Source organism: Homo sapiens, chromosome 3 (genome assembly GCF_000001405.40).
Source record: "Homo sapiens chromosome 3, GRCh38.p14 Primary Assembly".
NCBI classification, from domain to species: Eukaryota; Metazoa; Chordata; class Mammalia; order Primates; family Hominidae; genus Homo; species Homo sapiens.
In genome coordinates, this window is record NC_000003.12 from 10,932,562 (window position 1) to 10,951,910 (window position 19,349).

At 52.5% G+C, this 19,349-nt stretch overlaps 1 protein-coding gene across 2 annotated transcripts in view, besides 3 other annotated features; it reads left to right on the forward strand.

The window, feature by feature from the left end:
• The window catches only part of SLC6A11 (solute carrier family 6 member 11), a 124,487-nt gene extending 116,334 nt beyond the window's left edge, over positions 1-8,153 (forward strand). For both annotated transcript variants that reach the window (NM_014229.3, XM_047448764.1), the window contains 4 exons: positions 590-692; positions 1,505-1,605; positions 2,468-2,638; positions 5,689-8,153. In NM_014229.3, the coding sequence (NP_055044.1) occupies positions 590-692; positions 1,505-1,605; positions 2,468-2,638; positions 5,689-5,841 (528 nt within the window). In that variant the 3' untranslated portion in view covers positions 5,842-8,153. The remainder of the gene's footprint in view (positions 1-589; positions 693-1,504; positions 1,606-2,467; positions 2,639-5,688) is intronic.
• Positions 2,223-3,177: an enhancer, noted in NCBI's record as "H3K4me1 hESC enhancer chr3:10976470-10977424 (GRCh37/hg19 assembly coordinates)". NCBI's record gives its function as "activates a minimal SCP1, AML or CMV promoter by ChIP-STARR-seq in naive H9 embryonic stem cells {active_cell/tissue: H9 hESC(naive)}" and the evidence as "EXISTENCE:reporter gene assay evidence [ECO:0000049][PMID:30033119]".
• Positions 3,417-3,923: an enhancer, noted in NCBI's record as "H3K4me1 hESC enhancer chr3:10977664-10978170 (GRCh37/hg19 assembly coordinates)". NCBI's record gives its function as "activates a minimal SCP1, AML or CMV promoter by ChIP-STARR-seq in naive H9 embryonic stem cells {active_cell/tissue: H9 hESC(naive)}" and the evidence as "EXISTENCE:reporter gene assay evidence [ECO:0000049][PMID:30033119]".
• Positions 3,924-4,429: an enhancer, noted in NCBI's record as "H3K4me1 hESC enhancer chr3:10978171-10978676 (GRCh37/hg19 assembly coordinates)". NCBI's record gives its function as "activates a minimal SCP1, AML or CMV promoter by ChIP-STARR-seq in naive H9 embryonic stem cells {active_cell/tissue: H9 hESC(naive)}" and the evidence as "EXISTENCE:reporter gene assay evidence [ECO:0000049][PMID:30033119]".
• Positions 8,154-19,349: the final 11,196 nt, after the last annotated feature.

Consider the following 19,349-nt stretch of genomic DNA (forward strand, 5'->3'; position numbering starts at 1 on the left):
AGCTTACCAGGTGAAAGGGAATAGCATGTGTAGAGGCACAGAGGTGAGGCTGTCCCTTGGTCTGTCCAGGAGGGACTGTGGGAAGGGAGATGAGGCCAATGAGGAGGGCAGCAGCCGTGACTAGCAGGCTGAAAGGAGCCAGAGGGTCACTTTAAACTACCACGTGTTTGGTTGGATTTGCACGTTTCAGAGGAAGGTTCCTCTGAAAGCTGGCGTGCAGACGGATTGGAGAGGGTGAGGCTGGAGGCAGGGAGGCCAGTCAGGAGGCTGTTATACCCATCCAGGGAGAGGTGCTGAGTCTCCCCCATCTCGATTTTCTATGTAGTCTCTGGCCCTTGGGGTGCTGGAAAGTGAGGGGCTGAGACAAGACAAACCATCTGCGGTCCCAGCAGCCCCCAAAGGACAGGGAATTAGGGGGCTCCCAGATGGGAGGGTGCAATTTTCAAACTGGGAAGACTAGGGAGAAACAGATTCCTGGCAGTGGTAGCCACAGAGCAGAGAGAGGGACCTTCCTGAGGCCAGATGGCTGACCCTGCTCTCCCGTGTGTCCGTTCACCTCCCATCCGTGTGTCTGTTCCCCGACCTGCAGGGTGGCATGTACATCTTCCAGCTCTTTGACTCCTATGCCGCCAGTGGGATGTGCCTTCTCTTCGTGGCCATCTTTGAGTGCATCTGCATCGGCTGGGTGTATGGTGAGTAGCAGCCAAGCCCGTCCACACCCCAGCTGCCCACCAGGTACCCAGGATCCTGGTGCTTGGACTCTGGTTGGCTCTGGTTCTCTGTGGCTTATCTTGGTCTATACTGGCCTCTTCTTACTCTTCAGGGATTCCTTGGCCTTTTCCCACTGTTGGTAGACCTTCTGCTTTCACACCATGCAGCACAGGAAGGGGTTCAGGGCTCAGGCACTATGATCTTGGGCCAGTTCTGCCCCTGAGGCTCAGTTTTCCCCTTTGTAAAATAACAGTAGTCATCAACATGTCTCCAAGTGGGAGGAAGTGTAATCAAGCAGCAGCCTGCATGGTGCCTGGCCTTCCATAGACAACCACCTCAGGTCCTCCTGCTCCCCAAGCCCAACAGGTGGGTGAGGGTTGCTGGGCTCAGTGATGGTCACTCCTGCCATGAGTGTGGCTTGGGAATGGATGCCTCTGCAGGCCCCTGCTCTGTAGCAGCCCTGCCAGGCCCCTGCCTTCAAAATCCTCATCCCCACCCCTGATTGCCTTGCCTCCAAAGGGATCACCTTCCGCCTTTCTCCCAGAAATTCATCATTTCCTGGGCCTGAGGCCAGGAGAGCTCTCTCCAGTAGTGGGCCAGCATCCCTCCTGCTGCTCTTTATTCTGAAACCTCACACATGTAACATCTCGGTCGTTGTTTAAGCAGTACAAAGATTCCTGCAGCAGTTTTTCTGTCTCAGGCTGGAGAAAGCAAACACTCCTAGCCATTCCTCTGACTCATGTACAAAACTTCTCTGGGGTGTGTATGTTCCCCTCTGATTTATTCCGGACAGGAAGCAACCGGTTCTATGATAACATTGAAGACATGATTGGCTACCGGCCACCGTCGCTCATTAAGTGGTGCTGGATGATCATGACCCCTGGGATCTGCGCGGTAAGGGCCCCACCAGGAGCCACCTCCAGCCATCTACCCACCCATCTACCCTCCAACCCACGTTTCCACTCCGTAGCCCCCACCCTGGCCGAGGCTGGACCTGAGGAGGCTGATGTCCCCTGGTTCAGGCCACCTTACAAAGCTGCACCCATGGGCACAGGCTCTGGGCTTGGCCAAGGAGTGGCCTCATTGGGATCCCAGTGTTGCTGTGTGACTAGGAGCACAGCGCCTCCCTTCTCAGGACGTCAGGTGCTGCATACGCAAATCGGGCGCTGGATCCGCCTCAGAGGGCCGAGGACTATGTGGGGAACAAAGGCCTGTCCCCATCTTGTTGTTAACCATGAAGGCAGCAGAGCCAAGGGTGACACTGGGGTTCATGCTCTGCCTGAGACCGGACCACAGCGGGGCCTTTGTGAGCAGACATTTAATTAAAAAACATCCTATCACTCCTTATCCGTTTCTTGGCACTGGAAGTAACTCAGCATCTTCACAGACTGTTGTAGTTCTGAGAAGCAACTTTGAAACCAGTCCCGAGGAGTAACTAGAAAAAATAAAAATTCCTAACTGGGCAGAGGCCGGGGAAGAGGCTCCTGGGGGTGGGGAGAGGTCCTCACAGCCCAGCGAGGTCCCAGAACCCAGGGCCACGTTCCCTGAGCATCTGTTGCCTGTGGAATGGGGCTCTAGCCTGCTGTGCCTCAAGCTCACTGTGGTCCTGGCAGGGCCTCACTTTTCATGGCTGTGAAACAGGGCCAGCTTCCTCCCCTGCCAGCCTCTGGCTAGTCTGTTCCTGGGCCTCAGACCCCTCATGGCCTAGCAGGGCTGAGGGCCCATCCCCCAGGCACCTGCCCCCATCTCTCTGCAGGGGATCTTCATCTTCTTCTTGATCAAGTACAAGCCACTCAAGTACAACAACATCTACACCTACCCAGCCTGGGGCTATGGCATTGGCTGGCTCATGGCCCTGTCCTCCATGCTCTGCATCCCGCTCTGGATCTGCATCACAGTGTGGAAGACGGAGGGGACACTGCCCGAGGTGAGACCGCCCCAGGAGGGCTGGTGCGTTTGGGCAGGGTTCGCGCCTTGGGTCCCAGTTTCCTCATCTGCATGGTGCGCGATGACGGCCTGCGCCCACCTGCCTCAAGGGGACGCTGTGGCAAACTCCTCTCTGGCCAATGTTCAGTATCATGGTTGTGCCCAAGGTGTCTCTGTGAAGTCTTTTGGCTGAGCCAGTTTCTAGGAGTCCAGCCTCTGTCTTCCTGTCTGTAAAATGGGATAACCACAGTACCTAACTTACAGAGGCTGTGAGAACTCAGTGAGTTCATATAGGAAAAGCCCTGGGACCCAGACCTGGACCAGAGGGTAACAAGTGTTAGCGCTGACTGTTTTGTGAATCCCAATCATTCTGACCTGTCACTGTGCCAGGCCGTCTACCTGCTGTATCTCCTGCCATCCTCAGAGCAAACTGGGCGATAGGCATCATTTTCTGCAGTTAGCAGGCAGAGGAAACAGGTTCAGAGAAATCAGGTCACTTGCCTGAGGTCACACAGCCAACAGTTAGCAGATCACATGGTTAAAGACAATTTCATCAAAGTAGATTTTAGATATCCTAAAATTAACCCATTTCAGCCATACAGTTACACAATTTTTAGTAATGTTCCACATTGTGCAGTCATTGTCATGAATCTGCTTTAGGATACTTTCATTGTCCTAATAAGAGTCCTCATGCCCATTCATTGTTAACCCCTGTTCCACCCCCAGACAACCACAGATCTGCTCTGTCTCTGTGGATTTGCCTACCCTGGATGTTTCCTGTCACTGGAGTCCTACAGTGTGTGGTCCTTTGTCAGCAACTGAATCGTTACTGAGCCCATCTTACTCCAGAGCGGCACTCCCTATTCACTCTCCTTCCCTACCGCTGGCAGCCCGATGGTTTGAGTGGGTTTCTGCTTATTTAGTAAACAGCACAGGGTGTTTGTTGTGTGCCAGAAGCTGTTCTAAGCAGTTTACAAATACTAAGTCATTTAATCCGCATAGCAATCCTAGGGGGGTGGAGATTCTTTTTGTCTCCATGGATGAAGAAACTGAAGTACTGAGAAGTGAAGCAACTTGCCCAAGGGCACACAGCTTCTGAAGGATACAGCAGAGACTCCGGCTTGTGTGGTCCTGTCCCCTGAATTTCGCTGCCTCACCTTCCTCTGCTGAACCAGTTGCACTCCACTGTGTGGCCCTGTTTCTGCCCCAGGGCCACACCCCAGGGACTGCAGGAGTTGAACTTGGCCACCCAGGAGGCGATGGGGAGTGGGGGTATGCAGAGCCAGAATGCAAGCTCCAGCTCAGAGTCAGCTGCACCCAACCCACCTGCCTGCCCACCGAGGGGCCTGGGCTCCAGAAATAGTCATGCATCCAGCCAGAAGGGGCCAGCCACAAAGGAAAGTCTCTTTCTCAAGCCTGCTCATGCCCCAGAGCAAGTCAGGCTCCTTGGAGCCTGCAGGGAATGTAGGTCAAGGGCAGTTGGTTAATTCTGATCTCAGGCCAAACATGTCCAGAGGGAAGCTGACCTGGGGCCTTAAAACCTTGACCACTGGAAGACCCCTGCCCAAACTTCCAGATGGCCTTTTGGTGTTCAGAAATGCCTGGTGTTGCCTGCTAAATCCTCCAGAGATCATCTCCGGCCTGGTGTGGGCGGGAAAGCAGGGGAGGGAGCCTTCTTTCCTAAGCCCCCTCCATCTCCCTGAGCTCACATGTCTGCCGACGTGGACAGCAGGGTTTATTAAAGAGGGACTTCTTTGGAGGTGTCAGACCCAGTTTCCAGGCCCTCCTTACCGAGAGTCCTTGTGCCAGGTAGTCCACAACCCGAGCCTCAGTTCCCACAAAGCTGCTGCTGGGGGACGGGAAGGATCTAGAGGGAAAAATGAGGACAGAGGTGCGTCAGTGATGCGCTCTGAGGATGCATCCTACTGAATGATAGAAGGTAACATGGTGGCCGCTCAACTAATCTGATCCTTATACTAACCCCGGAAGGCAGGTACCGTTATTATCCCCCTTTACAGATGAGGAAACTGAGGCACGGGGGGTTAAGCTTCTTGCCCTTGTTAAATTGTAGAGCCTGGACACAAACCCAGGCACCTGGCTTTGGAACGCGTGCTCTAGCCCCAGATCCATGCCAGAGCCTGGCACGGTGCCTGGCACAGAGGAGGCACCTATTAATCGCACAGGTGAGTCTGCCTGTTAATCCTACCTGGACAGTGTGCCACAGCAGGCACAGCAGGATCTGAAAGAGAACATGGAACCTCGATCCTGAGAAACCAGCCACCCAAAAGACTTTGCAACCTTCCTCGGGAAATGGTTTATGCCCAGAAAGGGCCCCCCAGATCCCAGCCTGGAGTCTTCTCCCAGGAAACTTGGGGAGTGCAGATGAAGCTGAGGGATAGGGGCCTGAGGCAGGGCCACATCTGGCCTGAGGGGCAGGGCTGTGGGGCAGAAGTCTGCATCCATCAGAGCCAGCCAGCTGGTGCGGGCTGCTTTGCAAGGCAGGCTGAGGCTGTGAGCCTTGGGCTTTGTGATAATGCTTCTACCTTTGAGCACAGCTGGAGGAACACCCAACACACACTACACCTTCCCCGACATGATGGCACCCCTTCCAAGGGGAATGCACCCAGGTATCCAGCAATTGTCCTGTAAACAGCCCTGGAGATGCATTACCACCCAGCAATTCACACCCCAGCTTCTCAGTGTCCCTTGAGGGCAGGCACCAGGCAGTGGACCCTGATGACCGCTCTGAGTCCCAGCAACCTTTCCTAGCCAGGTGCGAGGCTAAGCACTTTCCATAGCCTCTCCTTACTCTTGACCTAATGCCAGGAGTAGGGACCTCTACGGTCCCCATTTTTCATAGGAGGAAACTGAGACCCAGGGAGGTTGTTCATCATCCAGGACAGAGCTGTAAGGGGCCAAGCTGGGGCCCGGACCTTGGTCTGAGAATTCTCCAGCACCCAGATGTCCGCCGTGTGCTTGGGAGAGGCCACGGCAGACCCTGGACCCTGGCAGCTAATCACTCAGATCTTCCCCTCCTCTCCAACCATCCAGAAACTCCAGAAGTTGACGACCCCCAGCACAGATCTGAAAATGCGGGGCAAGCTTGGGGTGAGCCCACGGATGGTGACAGTTAATGACTGTGATGCCAAACTCAAGAGTGACGGGACCATCGCAGCCATCACAGAGAAGGAGACGCACTTCTGAGCGGCCACCAGCCATCTGGGGCTCTTCTTCCTTTCTTCCCCCCGTGTATGTAAATGAATTCCTGAACCCCATACTTCACCTAATGGTAGGGGCTTGCTTGTTTTGCACAGGATTAATTAACAAGTTAATTTTAAGGTGGCCACTGTACACTGCTCTAAAGTCATATCCCCTCCCCGCCCCCAGTCATCATGGAAGTAACCACTACAAAGAGATAACACTGTACGGGGACTGCCAGATCTTCTGTCCTAGGGCAGTTTTAATCAATGTTTTCTAGGGATTAGGAAGAAGTGTATAATATTGTAAAACTTTTTTTACTGGGGTTGTGGGCCAGGTGGGGTGGGGAGTGATGGCTGTCCTCCTCTGTCGGCCTTTTAATGACCGTTCTGTGTCCCATGTATGTCTCTGACCATCCACAGCCGCCCCTCCTCCATACCCCAGGGATAATTTTTCCTTCAAACCTTCCCTTTCCAAGGGACACTGGGTTTGCAGACAGCAAGGCTATGTGGCAGAGAAGAAAAAGTCCAGCAGACTCAGGACTCCTGGGCTGCAGGCCCCCCTCTGCCCTGATCCCATGAAGTGACCTTGGGCACTCCCTTTCCCTCCCTGGGCCTCAGTTTCCCCATCTCCCAAATGGGAGGAGGAGCCGGATTGGGTTATTTCTTAGGGATTCTCTTTGTGTGCCTTGCTGGCTTCCAGACCTGCCGTGGACCTTGGCTTCCTCTGAAGACTTGCAGGCAATAATCTCCGCCCTCCCAGTTGTACCTCCTCCCCACCTGCTTATTTAAAATCAAGTTTATTGTAGAAATGGTGTGGTGTTGATGTGTGTTTTCCCTAAAACTCTAATTTCATCTCATCTGTGGGCAGCCCTGCTCTCTGGACACCAGTGGGTCCTCAGCCCCCATGGCAGGGGCTCCTCTGTCTGGCCTGCCTTTTTTTCCTGGTCAGCTGCTCTTAGCGCCGGCTCTGCCTCTCCACCCTTGGCAGGGCTGGCTGGAGTTGCTGTGGGGACTGATTTTCTGGGTGGGGAAGCAGCCATCTATTCTTGCAGCCATCTCAGCCAGGGTCTATGTCTTAGGACCTTCCTCCGGCCTTCCATGAGAAGCAGCCACAGGGGGCCTGGTTTCCTCCTAAGGCCCTTCTCTGTCCCAGGCCACCTCTTCTCCCTCCTCCTGTCCCCTAACCTCCACCTACCACCATCCTCCCTCTCAGTTCTCTCCCATCCTTGCCCCTGGTTCAGGAGCCATTCTACCTGCCTCAGTGGCCAGGCGCAAGGCTACAGGTGCAGTCACCTGTTCCCGGCCACCTTCCCTCCCATCTTTGGCAGACAGAAGTCTCAGCTCTCACTAGAGGGAAGACCTGGGCATCCTGCTGGCTCCTCTCTCCGTGGGGCCTGGAGTCTGGTGCTGTTCCCCAGCCAGCCTGGCTGCAGACCTCTCTGGCTGATACCGCTCTTCTTCTTTAATTGGACTTCATATCAAGCCTCTGCCTTGGTTTCTGAGCTATATGAGGGTGGGGAAGGCACACTCTTTTTTCCTTTTTCCTTAGGTTCCCAATATTATTTGGTGGAAACGTGGGCTTTCTCCAAACCAAGGCCTGAGTTTCCTGTAAGGGTCCTCTGTTTTTGATTCACCCAAAAGTCTGCAAACCCCCAGCATCTCTGCTCTGGCCAGCCCTGATCTGAAGCCTGTGTCTACTAAGAGGGATGCCCAGTGCCCCACTGGGCAGGACGGGAAGCCTAGCCTGGGCCCCCTCTGTGCACACAGTTCAGGCCTGCCCAGCTTCTTATGGGCAAGCCACCATCCCACTCTCGTCTCCCTGAGCTGTCTGGTTCTGCGGACCCAGGAAGGGCCAGGCTGGGGCCCTGCTTGTGTTTATCCTCGGCTGCTGTCTTCCCAGCAGGCCCCAGGCAAGGAGGCTTCCCATTGCTGCTGCTACCGGTTCTCCACAGATCCCTGTGGTCCGCCATCGCCGACACACACACACGTCGTAATGTGGCTAACGCTTGACTCACTTAACACTACTCATGGGGCAGGGCGGAGGGTGGATTGTTGCTTTTTGTTTTTTGTAATTTCCTACTAGTATTTGGGTAACTTTGGGGGTGGGGAGGGCAATGTGGGGGCAGGGGAACATGTCATTGTGATGACTTTTTTGATATTCATTAGAAACAATACATCCTTTCTGAGATATTTACAGTATTATTAAAAAATGAAAAAGGTTGTACTGTTTTGCATAATGAACATTTTTATTGGGCATTCAAAGGGTGCAAGATTGTCTGCTTACTCATTTTTAAAAATTAAAGAAATGAACAATCAGTGTGGCTATTCCTAGCAAGGTGGTATTCGTTGGGTTTTTTGTCCTGGTTTTATTCCCTCCATGATATGCCTGCAAAACCATCTTGGGTCCCTGTGTGGAAGCTGCAGTCTCAACTCAGCACTACAAATTAGAAACAAAAGCAGTGGTGTTTTAGGAGCCCAGACTTCTTTAGGTTCATGTATTTACCATTTGCCTAGTATGTGCTAGATGCTTTACAGAAGTTGTCTTTTTAATCCTTACAACAACTCTGTAAAGTAGGTACTTCTCCACTTTATTTATGTATTGCTTTATTTCTTTATTACTTCCCCTGTTTTACAGATAGCCATCTATTCTTGCAGCCACCCCAGCCAGGATCTATGTTCTAAGACCTTCCTCCAGCCTCCCATGAGAAGGAGCCACAGTGGGGCCTGGTTTTCTTCTAAGGCCCTTCTCTGTCCCCAGCCGCCTCTTCTCCGTCCTCCTTACAGATAGGGGATTTTGCGGCACAGAAAAGTCAAGCAATTTGCCCACGGTAACACAGCTAGTAAACATCAGGACCAGAAAGAGAACTCAGGTGTGTCTGACCCAAAAGCCCTGTCTCCTGACCACAATGCCTTATTGTTTCTCGTGCTATGAGGCCTAAATAAAGCAACAGCCCCCTCACAGTGGTGAAAATAGCTGCCACAAAACTTATGCTTGTGTCCTAGTAGGCAGACACTCATGTTTGAGGCAGGCAAGGCAGAGCACAGAGAGATGAGGATTTGGAGTATGCAGCCCTGAGTTAGGCTCCAGGATCTGCCCTTGCCAGCCTCAGTTTTCTCATCTCCAAAATGGGGATAATAGCTCCTGTTTCAAATACAGGGTCTAACTCTGATGAGGTAATGCAGGCATCACGGGATCATGAAGATCCCGTGAGCTCTGTGTGTGAATGGTAAGGTTCTGAATTCACACTAGTTATTATCCTGAATAAATAATGCCTAAGCTCAAAAAGTGTTTGTAGTATTGCCTAGAACTTAGACTAAAGCCTCTAAATTTGTGTCTGATATTTCTAAATGGCTACTCTAGACCACAGGCATGTTTTGTCCTGCCAGCTCATGACAGTAAGATCATCTTATGCAGTGTCTACTCATTCCTGTCTGGTCAACTTTTTGCTTGAAATCCCTGATCTCAAGTCTACCTGACCCTGTCTTGGCCTTTGATCCTCTCTGAGGTGGTAATATCTGCTCGTAGGAAAGCATCCCACAGACTTCTGGAATTCAGAAAGTCTCTGTGATCCACAGCCAGGGTCCCTGAGTAATTCCTACCCTCACAGAGCCACAGGGATTGCTGCAGTCACCTGTTCCCTGCCATCTTCCCTCCTCATGTCTGAAAGTGTCTTGCATTAAGCAGCTGTCATATGCAAGAGGAGGCTGAGTCACAGAAATATGAGTTTCACTCATTCCCAGGAAACTTCATTTGCAGACTCTTGAGCCTATAGAATTAATAGCATGAGGAATTAATTGACGCACTAGACCCCTCCAGGCTGCAGTGTGTGCTAGTGACCCCTGCTGGCCAAGTGGGACACTGCAGGCTGCCTCTACTAGACACTGCCAATAACCAGAGAAGGGGAAAGGAGCTTTGGCAGTGAAGTCAAGGCTACCTCAGGCCTAACAGCATTTCCCATGGGGGAGGGGATCAGGCACCAAAGAGCAGGCATATTCTGCTGAAAGTGGCCAACTTTGGAAAATTGAGTTCTTTCATGCATTCAGCAGCCCTTTACTGAGCAGCCACCATATTCTTTGTGTGGACTCAGGACTAACAGCCCCTTCCCTGGAGTGTTCCTACTCTTAGGAGGAGAGGTGTCCATACGCTTCTGGACAGGAGTAAGTTCACAGGGAGATGCTGTTCTGATTCTGACCTCCTGTTCCTAGCCGTCTTCCAGCCAGTTAGAGTTCTTCAGTGTGGCAGTGAGCAAGTCTGCCCACTCCTTGGGCCTCGGTTAGCCACTGGTAGAATGGCAAAGAAATGAGACCCAGAGAGGGAATGTGATTTGCCCAAGATTCCCCTAGAACTCTGTATTCCCATCTCATAATCAGTCCCCTGCACCATCTCAAGCCGTTAAAAAGCAAATGAGCTTGGGCCCCTCATTACCCATTAGGGAGAAAAGTCAGCCTTTGTTGCCAACTCTGGCCACTTCTCTCTCATTTTTAAATAATGCCCACTTTGTGAGGGATACTGGAAAGAGTAACACATGCAGCACTCTCTGAGCATCCAGCGTGGCTCAAGTGTCAGAGCCACTTCACAGGAAACCATATGGCAGGATGTGCCATGGACTGAGTGCTGGGGAAGTACTGCAGGCAGGAATAAGAACTGTTTATGGAGCACCTGCTGCGTTCCAGGGTCGTGCCTGCATTACCTCATCAGAGCCTCACAACAAATCTAAGAGGTAATTGTCATTAATCCCATTTTTCATAGGAGAAAACTAGAGTTCAGAACTGTAAATAATGTGCTCTAAGAGATACAAATTACACCTCCTGGCAAGTGGAGGAGCTGGGTTTGGATCCAGGTTTGCTGGATCTAAATAAGGCCCATGTGCCCAGCCACTTAACCAAGGATGTGGGACTTGAGTTGCACCTTGGGGGATGGGAAGACTTAGGCAGAGAAGGACATTTGAGATGAGGGAACATCCCGAGTGATGACAGAGGCTTTGGGAGAGCAGGGAACCAGGGTACTCCCCATTCACTGCAGCCTCCACTTTCTGGGCTCAGGTGATCCTCCCACCTCAGCCTCCTGAGTAGCTGGGACAACAGGTGTGTGCCACCCTGCCCAGTTTTGTTTTTTTTTTTTGTAGAGACAGGGTTTCACCCCAGTCTACTTTCTATAACCCCTCATGTATCTTCACCAATCTCTCTGGCAGAGCAAGATCAGGTAACACCATGCTTATCATGGAATGGCATCTGATGCTGGTCCCCCCACAGGACAGGAGCTTGGATGAACAAGTGCCCAGCTTGCCCCAGAGTGGGGAGCCATGGGAAAAGGAATACATAGGCATTGAAGACCTACTCAGTGCTGGAGACCATACCAGACACTTTCCTATGCATTACCTTGCCCTCAACTGCCTTGTAAGTTGGCATGGTGTTCACATTCTACCAGGAATGAGGAAACAGGCTCAGAGAGGTAGATTCAGCTACCCAAGGTCACAGAGCTGGAAAGTGGTAGAGCCGGGGTAACAGCCCAGGTGTGTCTGGCGCCAAGGCCCATGCACTTTCCACCGACCACCTGTAGTAGTCAGGCTTCTCTAGAGAAACTTCTCTAAACATTGGATAAAAATATATAGAAAGAGACTTATTATAAAGCATTGGCTCATGCAATTATGGAGGCTGAGAAGTCCCATGATTTACTATCAGCAACATGGAGACCCGGGAAAGTCAACAGTGTAGTTCCAGTCCAAACCCAAAGGTTTGAGAGCCAAGAGCACTGACGTGCAATGGCAGGAGAAGATGGATGTCCCAGTTCAAGCAGAGAAAAATTTTCCCTTCACCTTTTTGTTGTACTTGGGTCCTCAAAGGATTGGATGACGCCTGTCTGCCTTGGTGAGGGCAGGTCTTGTTTACTAGGTCTACTGATTCAACTGCTAATTTCTTCCGGAAACACCCTCACAGAGACGCGAGGAACAATGTGTACCAGCTATCTGCACATTCCTTAGCTCAGTCAAGGTGACACATGAAATTGACCATCACAGCACTGTTGGGAGCCACTGAGTGTCACCACAGCCATCAGCATTGAGAGGTTACTCAAGGCCATAGAGAAGCTATGGATGGTGGTGGAGGCCATGTGGGGAAGGTCTGAGGGTCTTCAGGGGCCTTGGAATGCCTTTGGTGACACTAGGGACCTCTGGAAACCTTCACAATTTCCCAGAAAACGATAGAAGGCCATGAGAGTTCACTGATAAAGACAAGGGGATGTTAAAGCCAGTGAGAGGCATTGGAAGTACCTGGGAACCCCCAGAGACCTGAAAGAGATGTTGCAAGGGGAGAGGGCCTGGAGACCCAGTAGAATTATGTGGAGCCATTTGGGAGTTACGAGAGACTGGGAGTGACAGGAGTATATGAGAGTCATAACGGCTACTGAAAAAAAAAAGGAGGCTCATTGGGGAGCATTAAGAGGTGCTGAGAGCCATCAAGAGTTATAAAAAATATCAGGGCTCTTGGTCATGACTGGGGGGTATTTTAGTCATCCAGAGTCCTAGGGAGTACTTGGGGTCACCTTGGGGGGCCCTGCCTGGGGGAGCAATATGCAGGATGTAGCCTTGAGGAAAGGGGAGGAGGGTAGCTCAGAAATGCTCTTACAGCGGGGCGCAGAGATGGGGGAGCTGGAGCCAACACGAATAAAGGGGCCGGATGCCCAGCTGCCATAGATGGAAAAGCCAGGCCAGAACTCCGCAGACCACGATAGGCGGCCGGCAGGTACATGATGGGACAAGGACTTTTTGACCTTGATCTTCCTAGGCTTGTACAGGCCTGAGTTTTCTTGAGATTCCCAACCTGGGTGTGCCAGATCCCCCATCTGGGTCTAGCCAACACTTGGCTTTTCTTATTCTCCTGGGAATTTTCTCTGCCGTTCTTTTCAAAGCCAACCATTCCTGAAGTGAGGAGGCTCTTGTAGCCCAGGCTGAGCCAGGAACTCAGCCCCCCACCAAAGGCAAAGGATTTAGGGGAAACCTAACAGAGGAATCTGGGCCTGAGCTCTGGGAGCCCCTGGTCAGATGATGGAGAGAGGGGCAGAGGACCGTGTAGAGTGAAGGCAAGTGTTATTTATTGAGCACCTACCATGCACCTCGGATGAGGTGGGTGTTTTCCATAATCCTCAAACCAACCACTGGAACTGTGATTTGTTCTCATTTTACAGATGTGCACACAGGCTCGGAGAGCTAAAAGGAGGAACTTGCCCAACATCACACAGGCTGTGCCGGAATTCAAAGCCAGGTGGATCAAACCCAGAATTCTTGGCTTTTTCCCTCTATACCAGGCAACTATTGGCTTGGCCCAGGTCTCTAGCAGGGAAGAATGAGCCCTGAGCCTTCCTGCCCTTATCCACTCTCCCCCACCCCCACCCCTCCATCCCAGTCCTGGGCTCAGAGGGGCCTGTGGCTGGCAGATCCAGGCTCTGTTAGCAGCAAGTCAGCCACCAGGTGGCGCTGCTGCTAAACCCAAGCCCCCTCCCTGTGGTCCTGGCTCAGGCCAGTGAGGTCAGGACTAGAGCTGGGACCCCACAGTTGAGACTAGAGGATCCAGAGGTCTCACTCTGGGTGCCCAGATGGGGGACAGAAAGGCTGCCCTTGTCAAACGCGCACAATTCATCCTTCTCACCCTGCCCCATCCCTAGCTCACGTTTGCAGCACTACCCTAACAGCCAGAAGTGAGGGTTCTTAACTCTCTCACTCCTTTGCTGTGTGACCTTGGGCAAGTGACTTTGCCTCTCTGACTTCAACGTCCTCTTCTGTACAAGTGGACAGAATAAGCCACTCAGGGGTGCCGAGAGGATGAGATGAGATGATGGTGTGTGTCAAGCGTCCGGCACACAGGGAGAACATGGCTCTCCCAGTGAGCCTCCTTCCTCGGGTCCATGGTCAGAAGGGCCCCAGCCGGTGTCAGGAGACCTGCACCCTAGCTCTGAATTCGCTGTGTGCCTTCAAAAAAGACATGCTGCCTCTCCAAGTCTCGGTTTCCTCATCTGTAAAGTGGCACTAATCACAGGAACTTTCTTTTTGGTTATTCTGAGGATGAAATGAGAACATGGCTATATGGCATTTGTTTTATAAAGCCCCACATGATCAGGAAAGGTGATTATTGAAAGCATTTCTGCAGCAGCTTTCAGGGGGTGGGATTGGGTGAATGTGTAAATAGTGGTGAGGTGGGAGAGGTGACCGGGCACATGGGACAGGCTGCGGGTTTTGCTCTGTGTACCTACAATGACACAGGCCCCTTGTGCCACACCCTACTTGGCATCTTCCCGGCCATGCCCCAAGCCCCTATCTTGCTCCATCTATCCTGGAGTCTTGCCCCAACCCGTTTAAACACAAAAATGTCTGAGTGCCTGCACGGAACAAAGACGAGAGGCAGAACACGGAAATGTCGATTGTGATTATCTCTGAATGATAAGGTTTGGGCTGATTTTTATTTTCTCCTTTTTCTTTTATTTTTTCTGTACCATCTAATTTTTTTTTAACAAAGAACATCTATTGCTTTTATATTCCAAAAACCAGAATCAATAAAGCTATTTTTAAAAATCCTTTCCTTGCCATCAAGAGGTTGGTTATAAATGAAGGCTCCAGAGAAAGAAACAATGATTCTCCTGTGGCTGGAAGATGTGGCCAGAGGGAGATGGGAGGGGAGAGGAGGCGTCACCACGTAAGCTGCCTTCAGTCCTGTCTCCAGCCTCCCCTGGGAAGCCAAGGAAGAGGCAGATGCAGCAGGACCCCTCCTCCGGGCCACAGAGCTCCCCGTAACATTTATGGGCCAGCATTCCAGGGGCCTTGAGCTTGCCGCTTGTCTCTGGGAGCTCGTCATGGTTGTTGAAGGAAGAAGGGAGCAAACAAGCCAGGAAGCCATGCTTGGTGAGGGCTGACTATGAACTAAGTGCTGCCACCTCTATTAACTCATCAGACCTCCCTCCCCACACTCCCCTGTTGAGGGAGCTGGGATTATCAGCCCAGGTTACAGATGAGAAAACTGAGATATGAACTTACATATCTGACTGCCTTCTGGATCTCTCCTCTTGAACATCCATTCAGCATCTCAAACCCAATTTTCCCAACTGAATTCACCTCCTCCAATCCTTACCCCCGCCCAGCCTATTCCTTCCTATCTCAGTAAGTGACACCGCTGTCCAACCACTTCCTTTATTCGGCAAATATTGATGGAGCATCATCTATGGCCCTGCCCTCGGGGAGCTCGCACTCTCGCCAGAGGAGACAAGAACACGGACATTTTGGAAAGTAAAATTATGCAGTGTGACAGAAGATGATAAATTATCTGGCTAAAAATAAGGTAGGGAAGAGGTATAGGAAGGGTCAGAATGGGGAGGTTGGAATTTTAAACAGGCTGGTCAGGGAAGGCCTCATGGGGAAGGTGAAGGAGGGCGGCGGTGGCTGTCCCAAGAGGAGCATCCAGGCACAGAGATCGGTGTGTGCAAAGGCCCTTGGGTGGGCGCTTATCTGCAGTGTTCCCAGGCAGCTAGGAGGCCAGGGTTGCTGATGCAAAGTGAGCAAAGGGCACTGGTGGAAGGGGAGGCCAGAGAAGTGGTGGGCAGATCACAGAGAGCCCCGAGGCCAGTGCAGATGTGCAATGAGGATGAGTGAGGGTTCTCAGCAGGAAAGGGACCTGCTCTGATTCCTGTTTTAATAAGGCCCCTCGGGCTGCTGGCAGGGGCTTGGGTGGAAGCATGGAGACCAGGGAGGAGGCTGTTGTCCTCCAGGAAAGAGATGATGGTGGCTGTACCAGAGAGAAGGGGATTCGGGATCTGATTCTGGGTATATTTTGAAGGTAAACCAGCAGGGTTTCCTGGTGGATTGACAGAGAGAGGAGTTGAGGATGACTGAGGTTTGGGGCCAACTTGTCAAGCGAGAAAACCTCCTCATTCCCCGCATTCAATCCACCGGTGAGTCTCATTGGCTCTTCCTCCTTTAAACCTCTCAAGTCCACTCACTCCCTCCACCCCAGCCACTGCTTTGACCTCCCATCATCCCCTGGACTGCTGTTGCCTCCTCCTGGCCAGCTTTCCCTGCCTTCTCCGCCAACGTGCCTTCCCCTCAACCCCTGTGGTGGGGCGGTTCATGCCTGTTAGCACTCATGGCAGACCTGAGCCAGAGCCCACCACTGTCAGGGAACTTCCCTTCTGCCTGAGAGTTACCACCCCAAAAGGAAATCAGGGGGCCAACAGATGGGGGATGATGCTGGCTCACCAAAAACCCACCATGTCCACCACCAGGGCCAGCTGCATGACAACCAGGCATCGTTCAGCAGGGAGAGGAAGGAGGCCCCAGGGTCGGCAAAGGCTGGGCCTTTGAAGAAGTTCATAGCTCAGCGTGGTCTCTGGCATCTCAAAGGTGTGGATCTGAATCATGGCTCTATCTCTTACACCATCTGGGTGACCTTGAGCAAGTCTCTTCACCTCTCTGAGCCTCCCTTTGCTCATCTGCAAATTGGAACCAATAATCTCTGAGCCTCAAGATTTTTGCAAGACCTGGGAGTTCCATTAGGGTGTTGGCTTACGTTAACCTAAAACAGTGCCTCCCAGGGCCTGATGGGCCCCCATGAAAGGAATGGACACAGCTTTGGAGCCAGACAGACTGGATTCCCATCCCAGCTCAGCTGAGTGACCTTGGGCAAACCTCTTCCTCTCTGAGCCTCCATCTCCTCCCCTGCAAAACAGAGCCCCCGTCTCACAAAAGAAGCAGGTGTACATGCACCCAGCACACAGTAGGTACTCAGCCACCATGCTAGAGAGTTTGGACTTCACCCTGGAGGCAGCTGGACCCATTGCTCCCACGCCCCACTTCCTGGGCCAGGGCAGCTGCAGGCCTGATGGGGTGTTTTTATCTCCAAGCCGCAGTGGGCTCCGCAGAGCTCGGCAGAGTCCCTGGGCGCATGGACAAAGAGCTGTTGTTCCCTCGAATCTAAAATTGCCTCCCTCTGATTGCCGCTATACAAACCCAGGCGGCTGCTCGCTTCCCCCATCCAGTTGGGTCTATTTCAAGAACACGCTGATTAGCGCTGATTGCGCCTTGATTGTGGCGGGCGCCTTGCCCAGCCCCCTCCCCGTGTGCGGAGTACATGCTCCTGCTCCCCCACCACGGCTCCTGCTGTCACCCAGGGGCCACCAGACCAGAAGACCGGGCGAGTGGTGCAGCACACATGAGCTAGGGTCCTCATTCTTCCTTTGGGCAGATGACCTTCCCTCTCTCAGATCTCTACTTCGTCCTCTGTAAAATCCTTCTGGGCTCAGAAGGGTATGGAATAAAATAGCATGTGGAGGAATGTGGCTTTCATGGTGGGCATTTAGACACTGTGACGGGTCGGTGGCCAGGGGAAGTGGCTCTTCAAAACACCCCATCACACACACACTTGGACACACATATGCACACACATGCAGACACACACACAAACTCACAGATGCCATTCATGCCTCTGGCTGCACTTGAGGCCACCCTTGGTAGGGGCGGGATGGAGCTTTAATAATTAGACTTCGCTGCACTGGGCATCTGACACTTGCCTTGGGCACGTCATCCACGCAAACCCCACAACCATCTTTTCAGCACATATTTTGTGCCCATTTTGCAGATGAGGACCCTGAGGTTAACGGAGGTAATGTGACTTGCCTCGCGTCTCGCAAAGAGGGAATGGTGATGTCAGGATTTGACCCAAGCTCCGTGTGAGGCAGAAGCCAGTGTTCCCACCACCCCATAGCCTGCTCGGGGTTTGCGCCCGTTTGAATGGAAACTATGAGTGGGAACAGCTTATGAGACATCTTATGCTGGTTATTTTTACTGCATTCATCCTGTGTGATCCTGGAAAAGTCTCTTCTCCTGGTGGGGCCTGTTTCTTCCTCTGTAAAATAGGGTGCCCCTGGTCATGGACTGATTCTTGGACTTTCCTGGAAGCACATTTCAAAAATGCAGATTCTCAACTATGTCCTTAGAGGTCTGGAATCAGTAGGCCTGGGACGGGCCCAGGAATCAGTATTTTAAGACACTCTCCCGGTAACAGTGGGCACCAGAGGGACAGTGGTTTGGGAAAAGTCTCCTCCCTGGCGAGTTAAGCCTCCTCCCTGGCAAGATGGTGAGTTAAGCCATCTTGTCGCCCAAGCCAGAAACCCAAACATCAATCAATCCTGTCCCAGACTCCCTCGTGCAACTGCAATCATTGTAAGATCTACCTGTTTACTCTCAAAGGGGCCTCTCTGCACCCCTGCTGCCTCCTCACTCACCCAGCCCAAGCCCCATCACCCCCACACCTGGACCACTTCCGGGGTCTCCTTCCGGGACTCCCTGTGGCCGCAGTGCACACCCCCACCCTCCACTTTGGTCCATTTTCTACACAGCAGATAGAATGATCTTGAAATGCAAATCTGGGCACCAGCCCTGACCATTCCCAGCTTAAACCATCAATGGCTCCCTATTGCTGCAGGTATTAAGATTAAACCCTACATAGTGGCCTACAAGGCTCTGCAGAGACTGGCCCCTCTCCCTCTCCAGCCTCATTTTACACCACTAACTCCCTGGTCTTCTCTCAGACTTAAGATTTTAATCCACTCTGCGCCTGTCCACCAGAGGGCCTCTGCCTTGCCGTGTTTCCTTCCTGGATAGAGGATCTTGTCTCCCTTCTTCTAGTTAACTCTGGCCCATTCATTAGACTGAGCTCAGCCCTCACTTCCTGGAACTATCCTGAGACGAACTCTGCTGTTCCGGGGGTACTGAGCTCCCCGCATAGGGAAAATGCAATCTAATTCTGCATATCTGCCTGACAGGAGATCATGGAGAAGATGGCTGCTTTGGGTCTGAGCCCTGGATCCTTCTCCCTCCTTAGGAGAGCCTGTGGTTCTCTAGGACTAGGGAGCCGTGCCCTCCTGTGATGGGGGGAGTCAGGGGGGCAGCGGAGACCTGGCCTGGGTCCTTGGAATCCCAGGCAGCCTAAGCCAAGGCCTGTTGGCAACAGCAGGAGCTCCAGAGCTCTGGCTCAGGGACTGGAGTTCTCATTGGATTTTCCACTTGGCCCCCAGGTCCTGGGCAGCGCTAGGAGGTGGCATAATCTGAAGACCTCTGACTCCTGGTTGGTAGGTCCTTGCAGCCTCAGGGGCTTCTGAGGGGCACGCATCAGTTCCCTCCCCTCCGCTGTCTACTCCTGGGAGAGCCCTTCTCTCTCAGGCATCTCCCACCCCTTTCCCACTCCCTTCCTCTGTCTCACTGCCTCTTTTTCTCTTCAACACCTCTGCTCCTCTCCCACCTCTCCCTCTCCCCTCCTCTCCCTCCTCCCCATCCCTACTCCCCCAGGCTCCTTTCCTCTCCACACTCCTGCTGCCTCAACTTCCTCCTCCCCTCTTTAGGCGCCTCTCCCTGTCTGCTACCTCCATGCTGCTTATCTCCCCACCTCAAACTCTCTCTTTCTCTCTCTCTCACACTCCACTCTGTGCACCATACTGAGGAGGCCTGCAAGCGCCCTGCAGCCCTTGGGGATGTG